The following is a 21,174-nucleotide window of genomic DNA, read 5'->3' on the forward strand; positions in this document are numbered from 1 at the left end:
TGTAAAATATGTAACCTGGCATGTTAAGCAGTGAGTATTGGCATAATTTTTTCAAAAGGTCATTATTGATTTTTTCCCACCCCTATTCTAGAAGAATATCTTCAGAGATTCAGTATATTCTCTAGAAATACTATTGAATAGTAAGAATTAACAATTTCTCTGTCTGTATATGTGTTTTAAAGGTATTGCTTGCTATGCATGCTAATGTTGAAGATCGAGGGAATAAAGGAGACATAACTCCCCTGATGGCAGCTTCCAGTGGAGGTTACTTAGATATTGTGAAATTATTACTTCTTCATGATGCTGATGTCAACTCCCAGTCTGCAACAGGTATGTAGAAAATGATGTATTAATTGGGAGAAAAAATTGACATAATTATTACCTGAGAGAGAGAAAAATTAGATTTCTGAGGAAAACCAGTATAAACCTACAGAAAAATCTTAGCCCTTGTGTAGAATCTTTGAGTAAAATACAAATTAATTTGACATCCTCAAAAGTCTTTAAAACACACTTAGAGTCTCCTGTAGTCAAGACTGAGTTTTTGTGGTATGAACATAATGGAATATTATTCAGACTTAAAAAAGGAGGAGATCCTGCCATTTGCCACAACATGGATGGACCTGAAGGACATTATGCTAAGTGGAATAAGCCAGACACAGAAAGGAAAGTATTGCATGATCTCACTTTTTTTTTTCCCCCACAGTCTTATGGACATAGGTATGCATGATCTCACTGAATATTGAAAATTTACAAAAAGCGTTAAATATATAGAGATAAGACATTGGTTACCGGGTCAGGGGTGGGGAGAAGAAATCGGAGAAGTAGGTAAAAGGATACAAAGTAGCAAATATGTAGAATGAACAAGTCAAAAAGCTTGATGTATAACATGAGGACTATAATTAATAATAGTGTATTATATTCAGGATTTTTTGCTAAATGAGTAGATTATGCTGCTCTTGCCACAGGGGGCAAAATTGGGTAACTATATGAGAAAAATATGTTAATTTGTTCTATAGTAACCATTTTACTATATATGTATCTTATAACAACATGTCATATACCTTATGTATGTAATATATATGGAGGCAAAATTATAAACTGTATTTCTTATAATTCTTTATCTTCAATACAATACTCTTTAGATTATAGATAAACCTGAGTGTTTACCCTATAGGGTTTTACATGTTGAGTTTGCTGAATACATTTACTAATAAGATATTCTTTTTTTTTTTTTTTTTTTTTTTTGAGATGGAGTCTCACTCTGTCACCCAGGCTGGAGTGCAGTGGCACGATCTTGGCTCACTGCAACCTCCACCTCCCAGGTTCAAGAGATTCTCTTGCCTCAGTTTCCCAAGTAGCTGGGATTACAGGCGAGTACCACCACTCCCGGCTAATTTTTTGTACTTTTTTAGTAGAGACGGGGGTTTCACCATGTTGGCCAGGCTGGTCTTGAACTCCTGATCTCATGTGATCTGCCCGCCTCAGCCTCCCAAAGTGCTGGGATTACAGATGTGAGCCACCAAGCCTGGCTGAGATATTCTTGTATAGCAACAGTCCCCAACCTTTTTGACACCAGAGACAATTGGAAGACAATTTTTCCACACGTGGGGGAGGGAGGAGGGGATGTTTTCGGGATGAAACTGTTTCACCTCAGATAGTCAGTTGTCTCATAGGAGTGTGCAGCCTAAATCCCTCGCCCGTCATTTATTTGAACTGAGCAGCTTTGTGCATACTATAGTTGGAACCCTTGAAAGTGGCTCCCTGTATTAATTAAATACAGAAAATATCTCTTATATTTACATAAAAGAAGACAGTTAATGTTAGAGTGTGTTGGTGAACCACCAGATTGATTTACTTAATTTTTTATCTGATTATGAAAATAATATATGCTCATTGTAAGAACATTTCAGAAATGCTGAGAAGTAGGAAGAATAAAAGATTACTCTCCCATAAACTCTGTGGCACAGAAATCACTGCTATTACTGTGTTAGTTTAGTTCCTTCCAGTATTTTTGATGTATAAAATTATGTAGTTGAAATTATACCCTATGTGCAATTTTGTTTGACTTCACTTATTTTCTATTTTATTAACTTTTTTTTTGTTTTTTTTTTGAGATGGAGTCTCGCACTGTTGCCCAGACTGGAGTGCAGTGGTGCGATCTCAGCTCACTGCAAGCTCTGCCTTCCAGGTTCACGCCATTCTCCTGCCTCAGCCTCCCTAGTAGCTGGGACTACAGGTGCCCGCCACCACGCCTGGCTAATTTTTTGTATTTTTAGTAGAGACGGGGTTTCACCGTGTTAGCCAGGATGGTCTCGATCTCGACCTTGTGATCCACCCACCTCGGCCTCCCAAAGTGCTGGGATTATAGGCGTGAGCCATCGCTCCAGGCCTATTTTATTAACTTCTTAACAAACTTTTTTAAAGGTTGTGTAATATTTCCTTGAATTGATATACCACAAATTTTAGGGGCAGAGGGCATTAATTGGTTGTGAACTATAGCAAAAGTTGTTAAATTAAGATGATAAAATCAATTGCTTTGTTCTGGTTAACAGCATTATGCTATATACACACTCCTTTGAAAAATACCCAAAAAAAAGGCCGGGCGTGGTGGCTCACGCCTGTAATCCCAGCACTTTGGGAGGCTGAGGTGGGAGGATCACGAGGTCAGGAGATCGAGACTATCCTGGCTAACACGGTGAAACCCCGTCTCTACTAAAAATGCAAAAAAATTAGCTAGGCATGGTGGCAGGCGCCTGTAGTCCCAGCTACTCGGGAGGCTGAGGCAGGAGAATGGCATGAACCCAGGAGGCGGAGCTTGCAGTGAGCCGAGATCGTGTCGCCTGGGCGACAGAGCGAGACTCCGTCTATAAAAAAAAAAAAAAAAGAAAAATACTCAAAAAAGAGGGTACTGCCAACAAGGAAGTTTTAAATTTCCCCTTGAGGATTCTTGGTGATCATCAAATTCAGTGGTTTTTAAGGTTGTTTTCTGTCAAATAACTCTAACTTTAAGCCAAACAGTATATGGAAGCACAGATATAATATTACACAGATAAAAGAGGAGTTGATCTAAAGTAGAGATAGTTGGGGGCTTTAATTTCTGGAACCTAGGTCTCCCCATCTTCTTCTGTGCTGAGGAACTTCTTGGAAGCGGGGATTCTAAAGTTCTTTGGAAGACAGTTTGAAAACCACCATGTTGTTCTCAGTACCTTTATTTTTAAAAAGTAGGTGAACATTTTGAGAGAGAAAAGGGCTTGGTTGAGATGAAGTCCCCCCCCCCCTTTTTTTTTTTTTTAGCTGAAATAGATACACTATGTAGAAGGAAGGGATTATTATATACCATGCAGTAAGCACATGCTCTTTGATGGGCTCCTCCGTACACTCTCCATGTGGCCATTTCAGACATTCTTCTCAAACCCCACAGATACCCCTCCTCGCTTCCACTGATTTCCTTAACTCATACTTCATTGGGAAAATAGAGATTTCCAGAAGGAAATTGCATCATCTTCTCACCAATAATTTCTAGTCAAGTTCGTATTTTAATTAATTCGTTCATTTTGTTCAGTAAGTTGCACCTACTGCCTGCATGTCAGAATCACTTAAGAGAGCTTGTTAAAAATACAGGTTCCTAGAAGTCTTCCTTCTGTACTCCAAAGCAGTCAGTCTCAGGAGAGACCAGGGATCATAAACCATAGCTCTGTATTGCAGCTCTGTGAGGGGATGTGGTCACCTGCCTTTACTTAATGCATTTTGTTTGATGCCAGATGTCCTTTTCTGCCTTTAGGAATCCTACTTAACTTTTGAGGCCCAGTCCAAATGTAGCTGCTGCTGCTTTTTAAAAAAACAAACAAAAAATCCCAGTTTTATTGAGATATAATTCATATACCATAAAATTCACTTGATTTAAGTATACAATAATGATTTTTAGTAAATTTATAGAGTTGTACAATCTAATTGTAGAATATTCCCATCACCACAGAAAGATCTCTATGCCCATTTGGAGTCCCCTCAGTTATTCAGACAACTGTTACTCTACTTTCTGTCTCTATAGATTTGCTTTTCTGGCCTTTTTATATTGTTCAGATCTTTATAACATATAGTCTTTTGTATTGGGCTTTCCAGAAAGTCTTTTGTATTGGGCTGAAGTGATCCTCCCACCTCTTGCCTCTAGAGGAGCAGGGACTACAGGGGTATGCCACCATTCCTGGCTCAGTTTTTTTTTAGTAGAGATACTGTGTTGTTCAGGCTGGTCTCAAACTCCTTGGTCTCAAACTCCCTGGGTTCAAGCAATCCTCCCACCTTGGCCTCCCAAAGTGCTGGGATTACAGGTGTGAGCCATCGCACCTGGCCAGAAAATCTCTTAATTAGTAGGAAAATTGGCCGGGCGTGGTATAATTGGCATAATTGGTATAATTGGCATAATTGTCAGATTACGCCTGTAATCCCAGCACTTTGGGAGGCCGAGGCGGGTGGATTACCTGACGTCAGGAGTTTGAGACCAGCCTGCCAACATGGTGAAACCCTGTCTCTCCTAAAAATACAAAATTAGTGGGGCATGGTGGTGGGCACCTGTAATCCCAGCTACTCAGGAGGCCGAGGCAGGAGGATCACTTAAAGCTGGGAAGCGGAGGTGGTAGTGAGCCAAGATCGTGCCATTGCACTCCAGCCTGGGCAACAGAATGACACTCTGTCTCAAAGAAAAAGAAAAGAAAATTAAGGTGATGCTTCTAACCAATGATAACGAAAAAAAGTTGAGATAATAGTTGTAGTGATTTGTGTAAGGGAATTGAAGAGGTATACCTAGAGCATTAGCATAATCATAATTGTATCTGTTCTGTCATGATTGTATATTTCTTTTTAAATCTTTTATTTATTTTTATTTTTTAAATATATATTCTGCTCATGTATTATATTTCTTCTTCTTCTTTTTAGGAAACACTGCGCTAACTTATGCATGTGCTGGAGGATTTGTTGACATTGTTAAAGTGCTCCTTAATGAAGGTGCAAATATAGAAGATCATAATGAAAATGGACATACTCCCTTAATGGAAGCAGCCAGTGCAGGTCATGTGGAAGTTGCAAGAGTTCTTTTAGATCATGGTGCAGGCATCAACACTCATTCTAATGAATTCAAAGAAAGTGCTCTAACACTTGCTTGCTACAAAGGTACTTAATACATGTATGAATATTTATAATGTTTTTCGTAACCACTTTGATTATTTGAGTATTGAGTATTTGAGTTTACTTTATATTGCTTATGTTTTCCCTGTGCTATAAAATTATCTAGTTTATAAGAAATTATATAGAAAGTCTATTTTAGTCTATATTGCCTGTAATATAGTTTTCTAGTATATGTTTATTATTTTAATTCAGATTTATTGGGTTAACTGTGAAGTTAACCCAACTACTTAGCTTAGATTTAGAGGGTTTCCATTATTTAATAACTTTTGTTTTATATGATTTTTCCAATGTTTATTTAAAAAATAGTACATGCCAAAGTAATAATACACACAATACTGAAAACCTGAAAAACACAGAGTAACACAAAGAAAAGAAATTTTTTGTTTTTGAGACAGAATGTCGCTCTGTCACCCAGGCTGGAGTGCAGTGGCGCGAACTCAGCCCACTGCAACCTCTGCCTCCTGGGCTCAAGTGATTCTCGTACCTCAGCCTCCCAAGTAGCTGGGACTACAGGCATGCACCACCATGCCTGGCTAATTTTTGTATTTTTAGTAGAGATAGGGTTTCACTATGTTGGCCAGGCTGGTCTTGAACTCCTGACCTCAAGTGATCCTCCTGCCTCAGCCTCCCAAGCCTCCCAAAGTGCTGGGATTACAGGCGTGAGCCAGCACACCCAGCTAAAGAAAAGAAATTTTAAAATGACATGTAATGCTACCATCTAAAGATAAAAAAGCATGTATACAATATTTTAGTGTATACATTTCCAGTTTGTTTTTAAGTATGTTTATATACAAACATATATATATTTTAAACAAAATAGTTATACTCTAACAGTTTTATAATCTACTTATTTTACTTAGCAGTGTATCATGGACATTTTTCATCTCAATAAATATTCTTTATTTTTTATTTTTCATTTATTATCATTGTTTTTTTGAGACGGAGTTTCACTCTTGTTGCCCAGGCTGGAGTGCAATGGTGTGATCTTGGCTCACTGCAACTTCCGCCTCCCGGGTTCAAGTGATTCTCCTGTCTCAGCCTCCCTAGTAGCTGGTATTACAGGTGCATGCCACATGTCTGGCTAATTTTTGTATTTTTAGTAGAGACAGGGTTTCATCATATTAGTCAGTCTGGTCTCCTGACCTCAAATGATCCACCTGCCTTGGCCTCCTAAAGTGCTGGGGTTACAGGCATGAACCACCGTGCCTGGCCTATTTTTTATTATTTTTAGAGACAGGGTTTTGCTCTATCACCCAGGACGGAGTGCAGTGGCACTGTCATAGCTCACTGCAGCCTCAAACTCCTGGGTTCAAGCTATCCTCCTGCCTCAGCCTCCTGAATAGCTAGGATTACAGACTCACACCACCATACCCAGCTAATTTTATTTTTATTTTTTTGTAGAGATGGGGGTCTCACTATGTTGCCCAGGTGGCTCTCAACCTCCAGGCCTCAAGTGATCTTCCTACTTCAGACTCCCAAAGTGTTAGGATTACAGGTGTAAGCCACCATGCCTGGCCTCAATAAATATTCTTACAATGTAACTTTTGATGATTATATACTATTTCACTATTTCATTTAGGATTAAAATTGGTTGCATATGTCACAAAATCTAAATTAACGATTTGAGCAAGAGAGAAATTCAAAGGTAAGCCGTTTAGGGCTAGTATGGCAGTTCCATTGTCATCAAGAGCTCATAATTCTATTTTTCTGCTCTGCTATCCTAGTATGTGGTTTGTATCCACAAGGTTACAATAAACCTAAAACCAAGATGATAGCTAGGACCCCAGCAGTTCACATTCTAGGAAAGACGTTAAGGGCAATATAAGGAGTGCCTCTCAATTTAGTAAGCTCCCTTTAAAGAGTCTTCCTAGGTGTGCGGCCTTATAACTACCACTTACATCTCATTGGCTACACATAACTGCAAGAGGGGCAGAGAAACATAGTCTTCTAGTCAGGTATGTTGCTGCCCAGATGAAACTGGAGTTCTATTATTAAAAAGGAATTAAAGAATGCTGGGTGCAGTAACTCACACCTATAATCCCAGCATTTTGGGAGGCTGAGGCAGGAGGATCTCTTGAGGCCTAGATCAGTCCTAGCTACTCGGGCAGCTGAGGTGGACGGATCCCTTGAGCCTTGGAGTTTGAGGCTGCAGTGAGCTATGATCATGCCACTGGACTATAGCCTGGCCAACAGAGACCTCGTCTCTTAAAGTGAGAAAGAATAAGAGAGTGGATATTAGATAGGGAACTAGCAGTCTCTGCCAAATACATCAAATAGATGTACCATAATTGCCTATTGTTGGACACTTAAATTCTTCCCAGGTTTTCACTATTATTAAAAACACTGATCACATCCTTGTGCAGACATTTTTGCATAACCTCTGATTATTTCCTTAGGATAAATTCCTGGAAGTGGAATTGCTGGGTCAAAGGGTATGGACATTTTTAAGGGTTTTGCTACATATTGCCAAATTGCCTTCTAGAAAGGTTCAACCAATTTATACTCCCACCAACAATGTTTGAGAGTGCCCTTTGCCCCACCCTACACCCTCACCAATACTGGGTTTTATCATTCTTTTTAATATTTGCTATTTTTGATAGTAAAAACATGGTGTCTTGTTTTAATTTGCATTTCTTTAATAGGAAGGTTTAATATTGTTTTCATCAGTTTAATATTCACTTGCATTTCTTTGTTGAATTATCATTTCATATCTGTCACCCATTCTTCTGGAGTGTTTGTCATTTTCTTATTGACTATCAAGGCTTTTTATATATTCACTGTATCAAGAGGATTGGAATTATTTTAAATGGAGTTTTCTGTGCCTGCTTATTGCCACAGTGGGTTTATGGTTATTTTAAAGCTGTTTTTCTGGAATATATGATGCCAAGATACTTTACTTGGCTTTCTATTTGATCTCAGTGTTTTGATTAGATAAATAATTTATGTATTTTCAACCAAGGTAAAAGCATTATTGCTTTACTTAACTTGAATTATGTGCCTTGGACTAATTCAGTCTTTAAAGCCTAGATAATAAGACCTTGAAAAAAGCCTGTATATTGCTTTGAATGGGCTTTGTAAAACTGTTACTGATTTATTTATTGAATGCAAAATAAGTTATCAAATTCTTGTATAGACATCTGAAGAAAAAGATTCCATACCTCAATATTTAAATATTAAACTGATAGTGAATTCTTTTAAAATTTTTGTTCCTTTTTTCAAGGCCATTTGGATATGGTTCGCTTTCTACTTGAAGCTGGTGCAGATCAAGAGCACAAAACAGATGAGATGCACACTGCCTTAATGGAGGCCTGCATGGTAATTTTAAATTACACTCACTTGAGATTTTATGGGAAGAAAAGGTCGTATGTGTTTAAGCCTTTAAGAGTGATTAATTGCCAGTGCGGTGGCTCACGCCTGTAATCCCAGCACTTTGAGAGGCCAAGTCGGGCGGATCACATGGTCAGGAGTTCGAGACCAGCCTGGCCAGTATGGTGAAACCCTGTCTCTACTAAAACTACAAAAATTAGCTGGGTATGGGGCGGGTGCCTGTAGTCCCAGCTACTCGGGAGGCTGAGGCAGGAGAATCGCTTGAACCCGGGAGATGGAGGTTGCAGTGAGCAGAGATTGCGCAACTGCACTCCAGCCTGGGCGATAGAGCGAGACTCGGTCTCAAAAAAAAAAAAAAAAGAGTTATTAATTGGTGTTGGGTTTATATAATTTCTTAATGCTAAATTAAACAAAGTTGATGCTTGAATGCATCTGCTTTTGGAATAGAACAGTCAAAGTATTTGGCCTTAGGGATATTATTGATAAAACTCTAATTCTGGAGATAGTAGACATAGTTCTAGTGTTTTTACAGTTTCATATTAAAATCTTAAATAGCAAATTGACCTCAAAATATATTGACTCAAACTGTATGGATAGCCTATAAAACATTTAACTGTTTTTTTAAAGGATAATGTAGAATCATACTTTTAATATACAATTCTCTGTGTCACAGAGAATAATCACCTTTAATGCTGTCAATCCAGAAATCCTTTTTCTACTTCTGTAAGCACATATATATCATGCGTATATGCATATCTAAAAGAGAGTGCAAATACAAAGAAACTCAAAGCATTCTGATAAGTATTTAAGACAGATTTAATGGCAAGAAAATTACCTGGAAGTGCAAACGCATTTTTTCAGATGTGATTAAATAAGCTCATCATTACACATGTTAATTTGTATTTTGTTGACTATTGCTGTTTAGCGAATCACTCAAAACATAATGGCTTAATGTAGCAGCCACATATTACCTCTATCTATTTTTTTTTTTTTTTTGAGACAGAGTCTTGCTCTGTTGCCCAGGCTGGAGTGCAGTGGTGTGATCTTAGCTCACTGCAGCCTACCTCCCAGGTTCAAGTGATTCTCGTGCATCAGCCTCCCAAGTAGGTTCAAGTGATTCTCGTGCCTCAGCTTCCCAAGCCTCCCACCTGTATCTTATACTATCTCATATATCATATGATTCTATGGGTTGATTGGGTGGTTTTTCTATTGGTCTCTCTCTCTCTCTCTCTTTATTTTGAAGACAGACTCTCACTCTGTTGCCCAGGGTAGAGTGCAGTGGCACTGTCATGGCTCATTACAGCCTGTACCTCCTGTACTCAAGCAGTCCTCTCGCCTCAGCTTCCTGAGTACCTGAGACTAGAGGGGCACGTTACCATGCCTAGCTAACTTTTAAATTTTTTGTAGAGACAGCATCTCACTATGTTGCCTAGGCTTTAAGAAAAGATTTATTTATTTATTTATTTATTATTATTATTTTGTTGGAATTCCCCTCTTAATATATGTATGCAAGATATGTTAGCAGAATCTATCAAAAAAATATTCAAGAATTTGGCTGGGCGTGGTGGCTCATGCCTGTAATCCTAGCACTTTGAGAGGCTGAGGCGGGTGGATCACTTGAGGCCAGGACTTCAAGACCAGCCTGGCCAACATGGTGAAACCCCATCTCTACTAAAATACAAAAATTAGCCAGGCGTGGTAGTGTGCACCTGTAATCCCAGCTACTTGGGAGGCTAAGACACAAGAATCACTTGAACCTGGGAGGTGGAGGTTGCAGTGAGCTGAGATCACACCACTGCACTCCAGCCTGGGTGACAGAGTGAGACTCTGTCTCAAAAAACAAAACAAAACAAAACAAAACAAAAAACTTCAAAAATTCAAGTAAATTCAAGTAAAACAATGTATTGAGAGCCTAGAGGAGATAGGCACAATAGCAGTTCCTTGATCTGTTGACATTTATAAATCCTTATTTTCTTTTCAATTAGAAATGCATTTCAACTACCAGATGACTCAGTACAGTAATTTGGTTAAAATATTTTATTTTACATGTATTTGAAGTATTAGTAAAACTGAAATTTTAATGTGAAGTCATCTGTTTTTGGCATATATCAAAAGTGATTAAGGCTGGGCTAGTCAGTTAAGTATAATAAAAGTCTTGATGGGTATTGAAATTTAACAACTAAGGTTTCTTTATTTAATTCTTTTTTGTTTTTGAGACAGGGTCTCTATCATTCAGGCTGGGTGCAGTGGCGTGATCTTGGCTCACTGCAACCTCTGCCTCCTATGCTGAAGCAGTCCCTCTGCCCTCAGCCTCCCAAGTAGCTGGGACTACAGGCGCACACCACTATGCTTGGCTAATTTTTGTATTTTTTGTAGGAACATGGTTTCACCCTTTCCCCAGGGTGGTCTCAAACATCTGGGCTCAAGCTATCTGTCTGCCTCAACTTCCCAAAGTGCTGGGGTTACAGCTGTGAGCCACTGTGCCCAGCCTTATTTCTTTAATTAAATAACTACTAAACCTTATTTTTCTACTCAGTATTTATTTTTCATTTGCAACATTATGGTCATTTTTGAAATACAGTACAATATAGCCTCTGACCTTATGTGTCACAACAAGCATTAAGACCTACATAAAGAGCAGTTTCCAAGATGGCCAAATAGGAACAGCTCCAGTCTACAGCTCCCAGCATGAGCGACGCATGAGACGGGTGATTTCTGCATTTCCAACTGAGCATACGGCACACCAGGAGATTATATCCCGCGCGTGGCTCAAAGGGTCCCACACCCACGGAGCCTCCCTCATTGCTAACACAGCAGTCTGAGATCAAACTGCAAGGCGGCAGCCAGGCTGGGGGAGGGGCACCCACCATTGCTGAGGCTTAAGTAGGTAAACAAAGCGGCTAGGAAGCTCAAACTGGGTGGAGCCCACTGCTGCTCAAGGAGGCCTACCTGTCTCTGTAGACTCCACCTCTGGGGGCAGGGCATAGCTGAACAAAAGGCAGCAGAAACCTCTGCAGACTTAAATGTCCCTGTCTGACAGCTTTGAAGAGAGTAGTTGTTCTCCAAGCACGGAGTTTGAGATCTGAGAATGGACAGACTGCCTCCTCATGTGGGTCCCTGACCCCTGAGTAGCCTAACTGGGAGGTACCACCCAGTAGGGGCAGACTGACACCTCACACGGCCGGGTATCCCTCTGAGACGAAGCTTCCAGAGGAACGATCAGGCAGGAACATTTGCTATTCAGCAATATTCACTGTTCTGCTGCCTCCGCTGCTGATACCCAGGCAAACGGTCTAGAGTGGACCTCCAGAAAACTCCAGCAGACCTGCAGCTGAGGGTCCTGACTGTTAGAAGGAAAACTAACAAACAGAAAGGACATCCACACCAAAACCCCATCTGTACGTCACCATCATCAAAGACCAAAGGTAGATAAAACCACAAAGATGGGGAAAAAACAGAGGAGAAAAACTGAAAATTCTAAAAATCAGAGCAACTCTCCCCCTCCAAAGGAACGCAGCTCCTCACCAGCAACGGAACAAAGCTGGATGGAGAATGACTTTAACGAATTGAGAGAAGAAGGCTTCAGACAATCAAACTTCTCTGAGCTAAAGGAGGAAGTTCGAACCCAACACAAAGAAGCTAAAAACCTTGAAAAAAGATTAGACAAATGGCTAACTAGAATAACCAGTGTAGAGAAGTCCTTAAATGACCTGATGGAGCTGAAGACCATGGCACAAGAACTATGTGATGAATGCACAAGCCTCAGTAGCCGATTCGATCAACTGGAAGAAAGGGTATCAGTGATTGAAGATCAAATGAATGAAATGAAGCGAGAAGTTTGGAGAAAAAAGGGTAAAAAGAAATGAGCAAAGCCTCCAAGAAATATGGGACTATGTGAAAAGACCAAATCTACGTCTGATTGGTGTACCTGAAAGTGACGGGGAGAATGGAACCAAGTTGGAATACACTCTGCAGGATGTTATCCAGGAGAACCTCCCCAACCTAGCAAGGCAGGCCAACATTCAAATTCAGGAAATACAGAGAATGCCACAAAGATACTCCTTGAGAAGAGCAGCTCCAGGACACATAATTGTCAGATTCACCAACGTTGAAATGAAGGAAAAAATGTTAAGGGCAGCCAGTGAGAGAGGTCGGGTTACCCACAAAGGGAAACCCATCAGACTAACAGCGGATCTCTTGGCAGAAACTCTACAAGCCAGAAGAGAATGGGGCCCAATATTCAACATTCTTAAAGAAAAGAATTTTCAACCCAGAATTTCATATCCAGCCAAACTAAGCTTCATAAGTGAAGGGGAAATAAAATCCTTTACAGACAAGCAAATGCTGAGAGATTTTGTCACCACCAGGCCTGCCCTAAAAGAGCTCCTGAAGGAAGCACTAAACATGGAAAGGAACAACTGGTACCAGCCACTGCAAAATCATGCCAAATTGTAAAGACCATCAAGGCTAGGAAGAAACTGCATCAACTAACAAGCAAAATAACCAGCTAACGTCAAAATGACAGGATCAAATTCACACATAACAATATTAACCTTAAATGTAAATGGGCTAAATGCTCCAATTAAAAGACACAGACTGGCAAATTGGATAAAGAGTCAAGACCCATCAGTGTGCTGTATTCAGGAGACACATCTCACGTGCAGAGACACACATAGGTTCAAAATAAAGGGATGGAGTAAGACCTACCAAGCAAATGGAAAACAGAAAAAGGCAGGGGTTGCAATCCTAGTCTCTGATAAAAACAGACTTTAAACCAACAAAGATCAAAAGAGACAAGGCCATTACATAATGGTAAAGGGATCAATTCAACAAGAAGAGCTAACTATCTTAAATATATATGCACCCAATACAGGAGCACCCAGATTCATAAAGCAAGTCCTTAGAGACCTACAAAGAGACTTAGACTCCCACACAATAATAATGGGAGACTTTAACACCCCACTGTCAACATTAGACAGATCAACAAGACAGAAAGTTAACAAGGGATATCCAGGAATTGAACTCAGCTCTGCACCAAGCAGACCGAATAGGCATCTACAGAACTCTCCACCCCAAATCAACAGAATATACATTCTTCTCAGCACCACATCACACTTATTCCAAAATTGACCACATAGTTGGAAGTAAAGCACTCCTCAGCAAATGTAAAAGAACAGAGATTATAACAAACTGTCTCTCAGACCACAATGCAATCAAACTAGAATTCAGGATTAAGAAACTCACTCAAAACCGCTCAACTACATGGAAACTGAACAACCTGCTCCTGAATGACTACTGGGCACATAACGAAATGAAGGCAGAAATAAAGATGTTCTTTGAAACCAACAAGAACAAAGACACAACATACCAGAATCTCTGGGACACATTTAAAGCAGTGTGTAGAAGGAAATTTATAGCACTAAATGTCCACAAGAGAAAACAGGAAAGATCTAAAATTGACACCCTAACATCACAATTAAAAGAACTAGAGAAGTAAGAGCAAACACATTCAAAAGCTAGCAGAAGGCAAGAAATAACTAAGATCAGAGCAGAACTAAAGGAGATAGAGACACAAAAAAACCCTTCAAAAAAAATCAATGAATCCAGGAGCTGGTTTTTTGAAAAGATCAACAAAGTTGGTAGACTTCTAGCAAGACTAATAAAGAAGAAGAGAGAAGAATCAAATAGACGCAATAAAAAATGATAAAGGGGATATCACCACCGATCCCACAGAAATACAAACTACCATCAGATAATATTATAAACACCTCTATGCAAATAAACTAGGAAATCTAGAAGAAATTGATAAATTCCTGGACACATACACTCTTCCAAGACTAAACCAGGAAGAAGTTGAATCCCTGAATAGACCAAGAACAGGCTCTGAAATTGAGGCAATAATTAATAGCCTACCAACCAAAAAAAGTCCAGGACCAGATGGATTCACTGCTGAATTCTACCAGAGGTACAAGGAGGAGTTGGTACCATCCCTTTTGAAACTATTCCAATCAATAGAAAAAGAGGGAATCCTCCCTAACTCATTTTATGAGGCCAGCATCATCCTAATACCAAAGCCTGGCAGAGACACAACAAAAAAAGAGAATTTTAGACCAATATCCCTGATGAACATCAATGCAAAAATCCTCAATAAAATACTGGCAAACCAAATCCAGCAGCACATCAAAAAGCTTATCCACCATGATCAAGTGGGCTTCATCCCTGGGATGCAAGGCTGGTTCAACATATGCAAATCAATAAACGTAATCCAGCATATAAACAGAACCAAAGACAAAAACCACATGATTATCTCAATAGATGCAGAAAAGTCCTTTGACAAAATTCAACAACCCTTCATGCTAAAAACTCTCAATAAATTAGGTATTGATGGGACATATCTCAAAATAATAAGAGCTATCTATGACAACCCCACAGCCAATATCATACTGAATGGGCAAAAACTGGAAGCATTCCCTTTGAAAAGTGGCACAAGACAGGCATGCCGTCTCTCACCACTCCTATTCAACATAGTGTTGGAAGTTCTGGCCAGGGCAATCAGGAGGAGAAAGAAATAAAGGGTATTCAATTAGGAAAAGAGGAAGTCAAATTGTCCCTGTTTGCAGATCACATGATTGTATATTTAGAAAACCCCATCGTCTCAGCCAAAAATCTCCTTAAACTGAAAAGCAACTTCAGCAAAGTCTCAGGATACAAAATCAATGTGCAAAAATCACAAGCATTCTTATACACCAATAACAGACAGAGAGCCAAATCATGAGTGAACTCCCATTCACAATTGCTTCAAAGAGAATAAAATACCTAGGAATCCAACTTACAAGGGATGTAAAGGACCTCTTCAAGGAGAACTACAAACCACTGCTCAAGGAAATAAAAGAGGATACAAACAAATGGAAGAACATTCCATGCTCATGGATAGGGAGATTCAATATCGTGAAAATGGCCATACTGCCCAAAGTAATTTATAGATTCAATGCCATCCCCATCAAGCTACCAATGACTTCCTTCACAGAATTGGAAAAAACTACTTTAAAGTTCATATGGAACCAAAAAAGAGCCCACATTGCCAAGACAATCCTAAGCCAAAAGAACAAAGCTGGAGACATCACGCTACCTGACTTCAAACTATACTACAAGGCTACAGTAACCAAAACAGCATGGTACTTGTACCAAAACAGAGATATAGACCAATGGAACAGAACAGAGCCCTCAGAAATAATACCATGCATCTACAACCATCTGATCTTTTGACAAATCTGAGAAAAGCAAGAAATGGGGAAAGGATTCCCTATTTAATACATGGTGCTGGGAAAACTGGCTAGCCATATGTAGAAAACTAAAACTGGATCCCTTCCTTACACTTTATAGAAAATTCAAGATGGATTAAAGACTTAAATGTTAGACCTAAAACCATAAAAACCCTAGAAGAAAACCTAGGCAATACCATTCAGGACATAGGCTTGGGCAAGGACTTCATGTCTAAAACACCAAAAGCAATGGCAACAAAAGCCAAAATTGACAAATGGGATCTAAGTAAACTAAAGAGCTTCTGCACAGCAAAAGAAACTACCATCAGAGGGAACAGGCAACCTACAGAATGGGAGAAAATTTTTTCAATCTACTTATCTGACAAAGGGCGAATATCCAGAATCTACAATGAACTCAAACAAATTTACAAGAAAAAAACAACCCCATCAAAAAGTGGACAAAGGATATGAACAGACACTTCTCAAAAGAAGACATTTATGCAGCCAACAGACACATGAAAAAATGCTCCTCATCACTGGCCATCAGAGAAATGCAAATCAAAACCACAATGAGATACCATCTCACACCAGTTAGAATGGCGATCATTAAAAAGTCAGGAAACAACAGGTGCTGGAGAGGATGTGGAGAAATAGGAACACTTTTACACTGTTGGTGGTACTGTTGACTAGTTCAACCATTGTGGTAGACAGTGTGGCGATTCCTCAAGGATCTAGAACTAGAAATACCATTTGACCCAGCAATCCCATTACTGGGTATATACCCAAAGGATTATAAATCATGCTGCTATAAAGACAGATGCACACATATGTTTATTGCGGCACTATTCACAATAGCAAAGACTTGGAACCAAGCCAAATGTCCATCAATGATAGACTGGATTAAGAAAATGTGGCACATATACACCATGGAATACTATGCAGCCATAAAAAAGGATGAGTTCATGTCCTTTGTAGGGACATGGATGAAGCTGGAAACCATCATTCTCAGCAAACTATCACAAGAACAAAAAACCAGACAGCGCATGTTCTCACTCATAGGTGGGAATTGAACAATGAGAACACTTGGACACAGGAAGGGGAACATCACACACCAGGGCCTGTTGTGGGGTCGGGGGAGCGGGGAGGGAAAGCATTAGGAGATATACCCAATGTAAATGAGGAGTTAACGGATGCAGCACACCAACATGGCACACGTATACGTATGTAACAAACCTGCATGTTGTGCACATGTACCCTAGAACTTAAAGTATAAAAAAAAAAAGACCTACATAAATTTTGACATTAAAAATTTGAAATTAAAGAAGGATATTTATGGTGATAGGTAGAATTGATACCCACCATGAGAATATTTTATTGTTAATTGACTTACTGTCTATGCAGATAGGCCATGGTAAAAATTTTTTACAATGAATGTCTTTATTTTTACATCATTACAAAATCTTTGCCTCATTGCAACAAGGTGTTGTGATTAGGAAAAATATAGGATGGTGTCAATCCAGAGACATTTATGTTGGTGACATAATCCCAAGTGGTAACGACTTCACATAATTTGTTGTGTTATTTTTTGCCATGCCTTTGTTTCTGAAATAGATGTAATACGGTTTCTACATTTGAATATGACTCCTGAGTTTGAGGGTATGACTGTATTTGACCTGGCAGTAGTATAATCTTGTTATTTTGAGGTAGCATTGACTATAGATTTCACAGTTTTTTGAACTTCAAAAAATGGAAATTTAAAATTATTTGGATTTGTGACTGTTATGTCACCAAGTCTCATTCTTTTGGAGAATTTTGGGCTTGCTCAAAAGTTGGTTAAAATAATTTGAAAATTACTTAAAAGCAATATTGATGAACTTTTGATAAGGCTCAGATGAGCATGATAATATATATGCTGTCTATGCTGAATCTTCTAATCTTGTCTTTTTTCTTCCTTTTTCCAATCTCTTGCTTTCTTCTCTCCCACTTAAAAAAATCTCAAAACAAAAAATTTCTCTCCTTCTTTCTTTACTTCTGAAAATCTGCAGGATGGACATGTAGAGGTGGCACGTTTGCTTTTGGATAGTGGTGCTCAAGTGAACATGCCTGCAGATTCATTTGAATCTCCATTGACGCTAGCTGCCTGTGGAGGACATGTTGAATTGGCAGCTCTACTTATTGAAAGGGGAGCAAATCTTGAAGAAGTTAATGATGAAGGATACACTCCCTTGATGGAAGCTGCCCGGGAAGGACATGAAGAAATGGTGGCACTACTCTTAGCACAAGGTAAAGCAGTTTTACTTCTTTTAGAAAAATCAGTTTTCTTTGGATGTTTTGTGTTAGTACTGGTGAAGTTTACTACAGCTAGCATATATATATATATATATATATATATATATATATGCATATATATATATATGCATATATATATATATATATATATATATATATATTGCATTGATGATAAATTACCCTGGAGGAAACCACAGAAGCAGAGAAGACAGAGATGATTATCACAATTCAGAAAATTAATATCTTTATTATAAGTCTCTTGCAACTAATTTTATCTGTTTTTATACTTTCCTAGGAGCAAATATAAATGCCCAGACAGAAGAAACTCAAGAAACTGCTCTTACTTTGGCTTGCTGTGGAGGATTTTCTGAAGTTGCAGACTTTCTTATTAAGGCAGGGGCTGATATAGAACTTGGCTGCTCCACACCTCTGATGGAGGCATCTCAGGAGGGACACCTGGAATTGGTTAAATATTTGCTGGCTTCTGGTATGTGGCTTTAAGATGCCTTATTGCTCAGAAAGACAAATACAAATAATAGTTTATATGTGGAATCTAAAAACGTTGAGCTCCTAGTAGATAATAGAATGGTGGTTACCAGAGTGTGGGCATGAGGGTGGGAGGAGAGTACACAAGGAGAGGGGAAATGTTGATCAAAGGGTACAAAGTTTCACTTAGATAGGTGGAATAAGTTTTAATGATATATTGCATAGCAAGGTGACTACAGTTAACAATAATGTATATCTCAAAATTGCTAAGAGTAGATTTAAATGTTCTCACCACAAATATGTGAGGTGATAAATATGTTAATTAGCTTGATCTAATCATTCCACAACATATACATATATCATAACATCACATTGTACCCCATAAATATATACAATTATTATTTGTCAATTAAAAATAAAATTAAATTAAATAATTAAAAATACTGTTTAGAAAAAGACTTATATTGCTTTCTTAACTTTAACAATTAACTGTTAACTTTTTCATTTCTATAAAAGTTGAAAGACAGCTGCATAATTTAACTGATCTTAGACTCCTAAGTCTCTAAAACTGATTTTTAAAAAGATTTCTTACTGTTATTAATGTTTGTGTAGTGACCATAAGGTATCTCGTTCACCTTCTTTCTCCGTCTAATTGTTTGTGGCTTGTGGAAGGGAGATGTTAGTTTCTACTAGTCTCTGTTAATAAGAGGAGGTGGGGATGATGACATTATTGAGAGGTTATAATTTGGTACCTTTAAGTCTGTTCATTTCTTGACATTTCTAAGTCATCTGAAAAAAGTGGGAATTAATTTATTTTTACAGAGTACTAATTTTAAAAATATTTGTGCTTTATTATTAAGCTGTGGTAAGCAATAAGTACTTTTACATAGAATATTTGTAGTTTTATAGAACATACTAAAAAAAAAATTAGTCCCAACAGATGTAAATATATTCTTTGAAAATAATGTCAGATTTTTCTTTTTTACCACGTCTGATATATTATTTAAAATTTGATATATAGAAAAGTTAATATGTAAAAGAAAATAAAATATTTAGCAAAATTTTATTCATCCTTTTGGGCTTTCATTGTTAACATTAATTTTAATATAGCCCAACCTCAGTTTTTCCTTTGAATTATTATTGAAATAATTTGTTAAACCAGATTTTATTTTATTCTATTTTTTGAGATAGGGTCGTGCTTTGTCATTCAGGCTGGAGTGTAGTGGTGTGAATATGTTCCACTGCAACCTCAACCTCCTGGGCTCAAGTGATCCTTCAGCCTCAGCCTCCCAGGTAGCTGGGACTATAGGCGCATACCACTATGCCTGGCTAATTTTTGTATTTTTTGTAGAGATGGGATTTTGCCACGTTCCTGAGGCTGGTCTCAAACTCCTGGGCTCAAGCAATCCTTCTGCCCCGGCCTCTCAAAGTGCTGGGATTACAGATGTGAACTACCACACCCGGCCTTAAACCAGATTGTGAATGGTTTGGATGATTTATGGTTTGGACAAACCAACCATAAATGCTGACTTTTTTCCTGAACAAATACTGATAATCATTCTAGTTATTGTATATATTCAGTCATTTTTCCCCTATCATTTTTAGTAACTGTGTCCTATTCAAGAGTCTTTCTCTGCTAGTGGTTATCTTTGTACATTCTTCCCACATCCCTCTCTTAAGCTAAAGTCGTGCTATTGTAACGTGTTTTTAAAAGAAGGAATAAATGTTTATTAAGAAATTATTGAATATCAGACATTTTGCTCAGCTTTTGTGTTATCTCTATTAATTGCCACTGGTTCCTATGTAGTGAGAAATATTAAACACATTCTTGTAGATGAGGGAACTAATGCACAATGATGTTATATAACTCCGTCGAAGGTAACCAAGCTAATAGGGACAGAGTCAACATTCAAACTTAGAACTCGACATTGTTTTTTCTACTGCATTACCATTGATTTAGCTCCTTTTGCTTATTTGAAGTATGTAGCTCGTAGAAACTATCTCAGGGTTTGAGAATCACTTTTATGTGATCACTACCTAAAAGTTTTTTTTCCACCCAGTTTTAAGGGTAATTTATTTACATGAAGTGCTTCTTACAGTGTGGCACTAAAGAAAACTCAAATAAGGCCTATACAATTAAAACAAATTTAACAACCTTTTTGTTATGGCATTTTTTCAAACATACAGAGAATGTAGTATTTGAGATCCTAAGAATCCATCACCTAGTTAGTGTTTTAACATGAATGTCTAATTCATGGCCAATCTTATTTCATCTGTACTTCTTCCACATCCCCATTCTTACAAAATTATTTTTATTTAAAAGAAACATTTTTAACTTTTTATTTTTAAAATTTGAAAATTAATGATTAAAAATGTTACTTTTATAAAAGTGTTAATATTCAGTATTTAAAAGATAATTTTAAAAATAACCACAATACAATTTTCCTACCTAAAAAATTTTAATGAGTTTCTTAGCAAATATCCAAGCCATTTTTGTATTTCTCTGATAGTTTTATAAATCTGTATGTATGTGTTTAGTGACTTTTTTGAATTAAGATTGAAATAAGATTCATAAAATCACTATTAATCAATGTCTCTTAAGCCTTTTTTAATCTATGGGCTACATCTCATT

At 38.1% G+C, this 21,174-nt stretch overlaps 2 protein-coding genes across 5 annotated transcripts in view; both read left to right on the top strand.

The window, feature by feature from the left end:
* ANKHD1-EIF4EBP3 (ANKHD1-EIF4EBP3 readthrough) overlaps positions 1-21,174 on the top strand; it is a 147,744-nt gene that overhangs the window by 38,980 nt on the left and 87,590 nt on the right. The window contains exons 5-9 of the mRNA NM_020690.6: positions 183-330; positions 4,930-5,163; positions 8,399-8,493; positions 17,813-18,050; positions 18,352-18,543. Of these exons, the coding sequence (NP_065741.3) occupies positions 183-330; positions 4,930-5,163; positions 8,399-8,493; positions 17,813-18,050; positions 18,352-18,543 (907 nt within the window). The remainder of the gene's footprint in view (positions 1-182; positions 331-4,929; positions 5,164-8,398; positions 8,494-17,812; positions 18,051-18,351; positions 18,544-21,174) is intronic.
* Positions 1-21,174, top strand: part of ANKHD1 (ankyrin repeat and KH domain containing 1) — a 138,017-nt gene that overhangs the window by 38,980 nt on the left and 77,863 nt on the right. For all 4 annotated transcript variants that reach the window (NM_017747.3, NM_024668.4, NM_001197030.2 and 1 more), the window contains exons 5-9: positions 183-330; positions 4,930-5,163; positions 8,399-8,493; positions 17,813-18,050; positions 18,352-18,543. In NM_017747.3, the coding sequence (NP_060217.1) occupies positions 183-330; positions 4,930-5,163; positions 8,399-8,493; positions 17,813-18,050; positions 18,352-18,543 (907 nt within the window). The remainder of the gene's footprint in view (positions 1-182; positions 331-4,929; positions 5,164-8,398; positions 8,494-17,812; positions 18,051-18,351; positions 18,544-21,174) is intronic.

The sequence above is a fragment of the Homo sapiens genome, chromosome 5, assembly GCF_000001405.40.
Source record: "Homo sapiens chromosome 5, GRCh38.p14 Primary Assembly".
NCBI classification, from domain to species: Eukaryota; Metazoa; Chordata; class Mammalia; order Primates; family Hominidae; genus Homo; species Homo sapiens.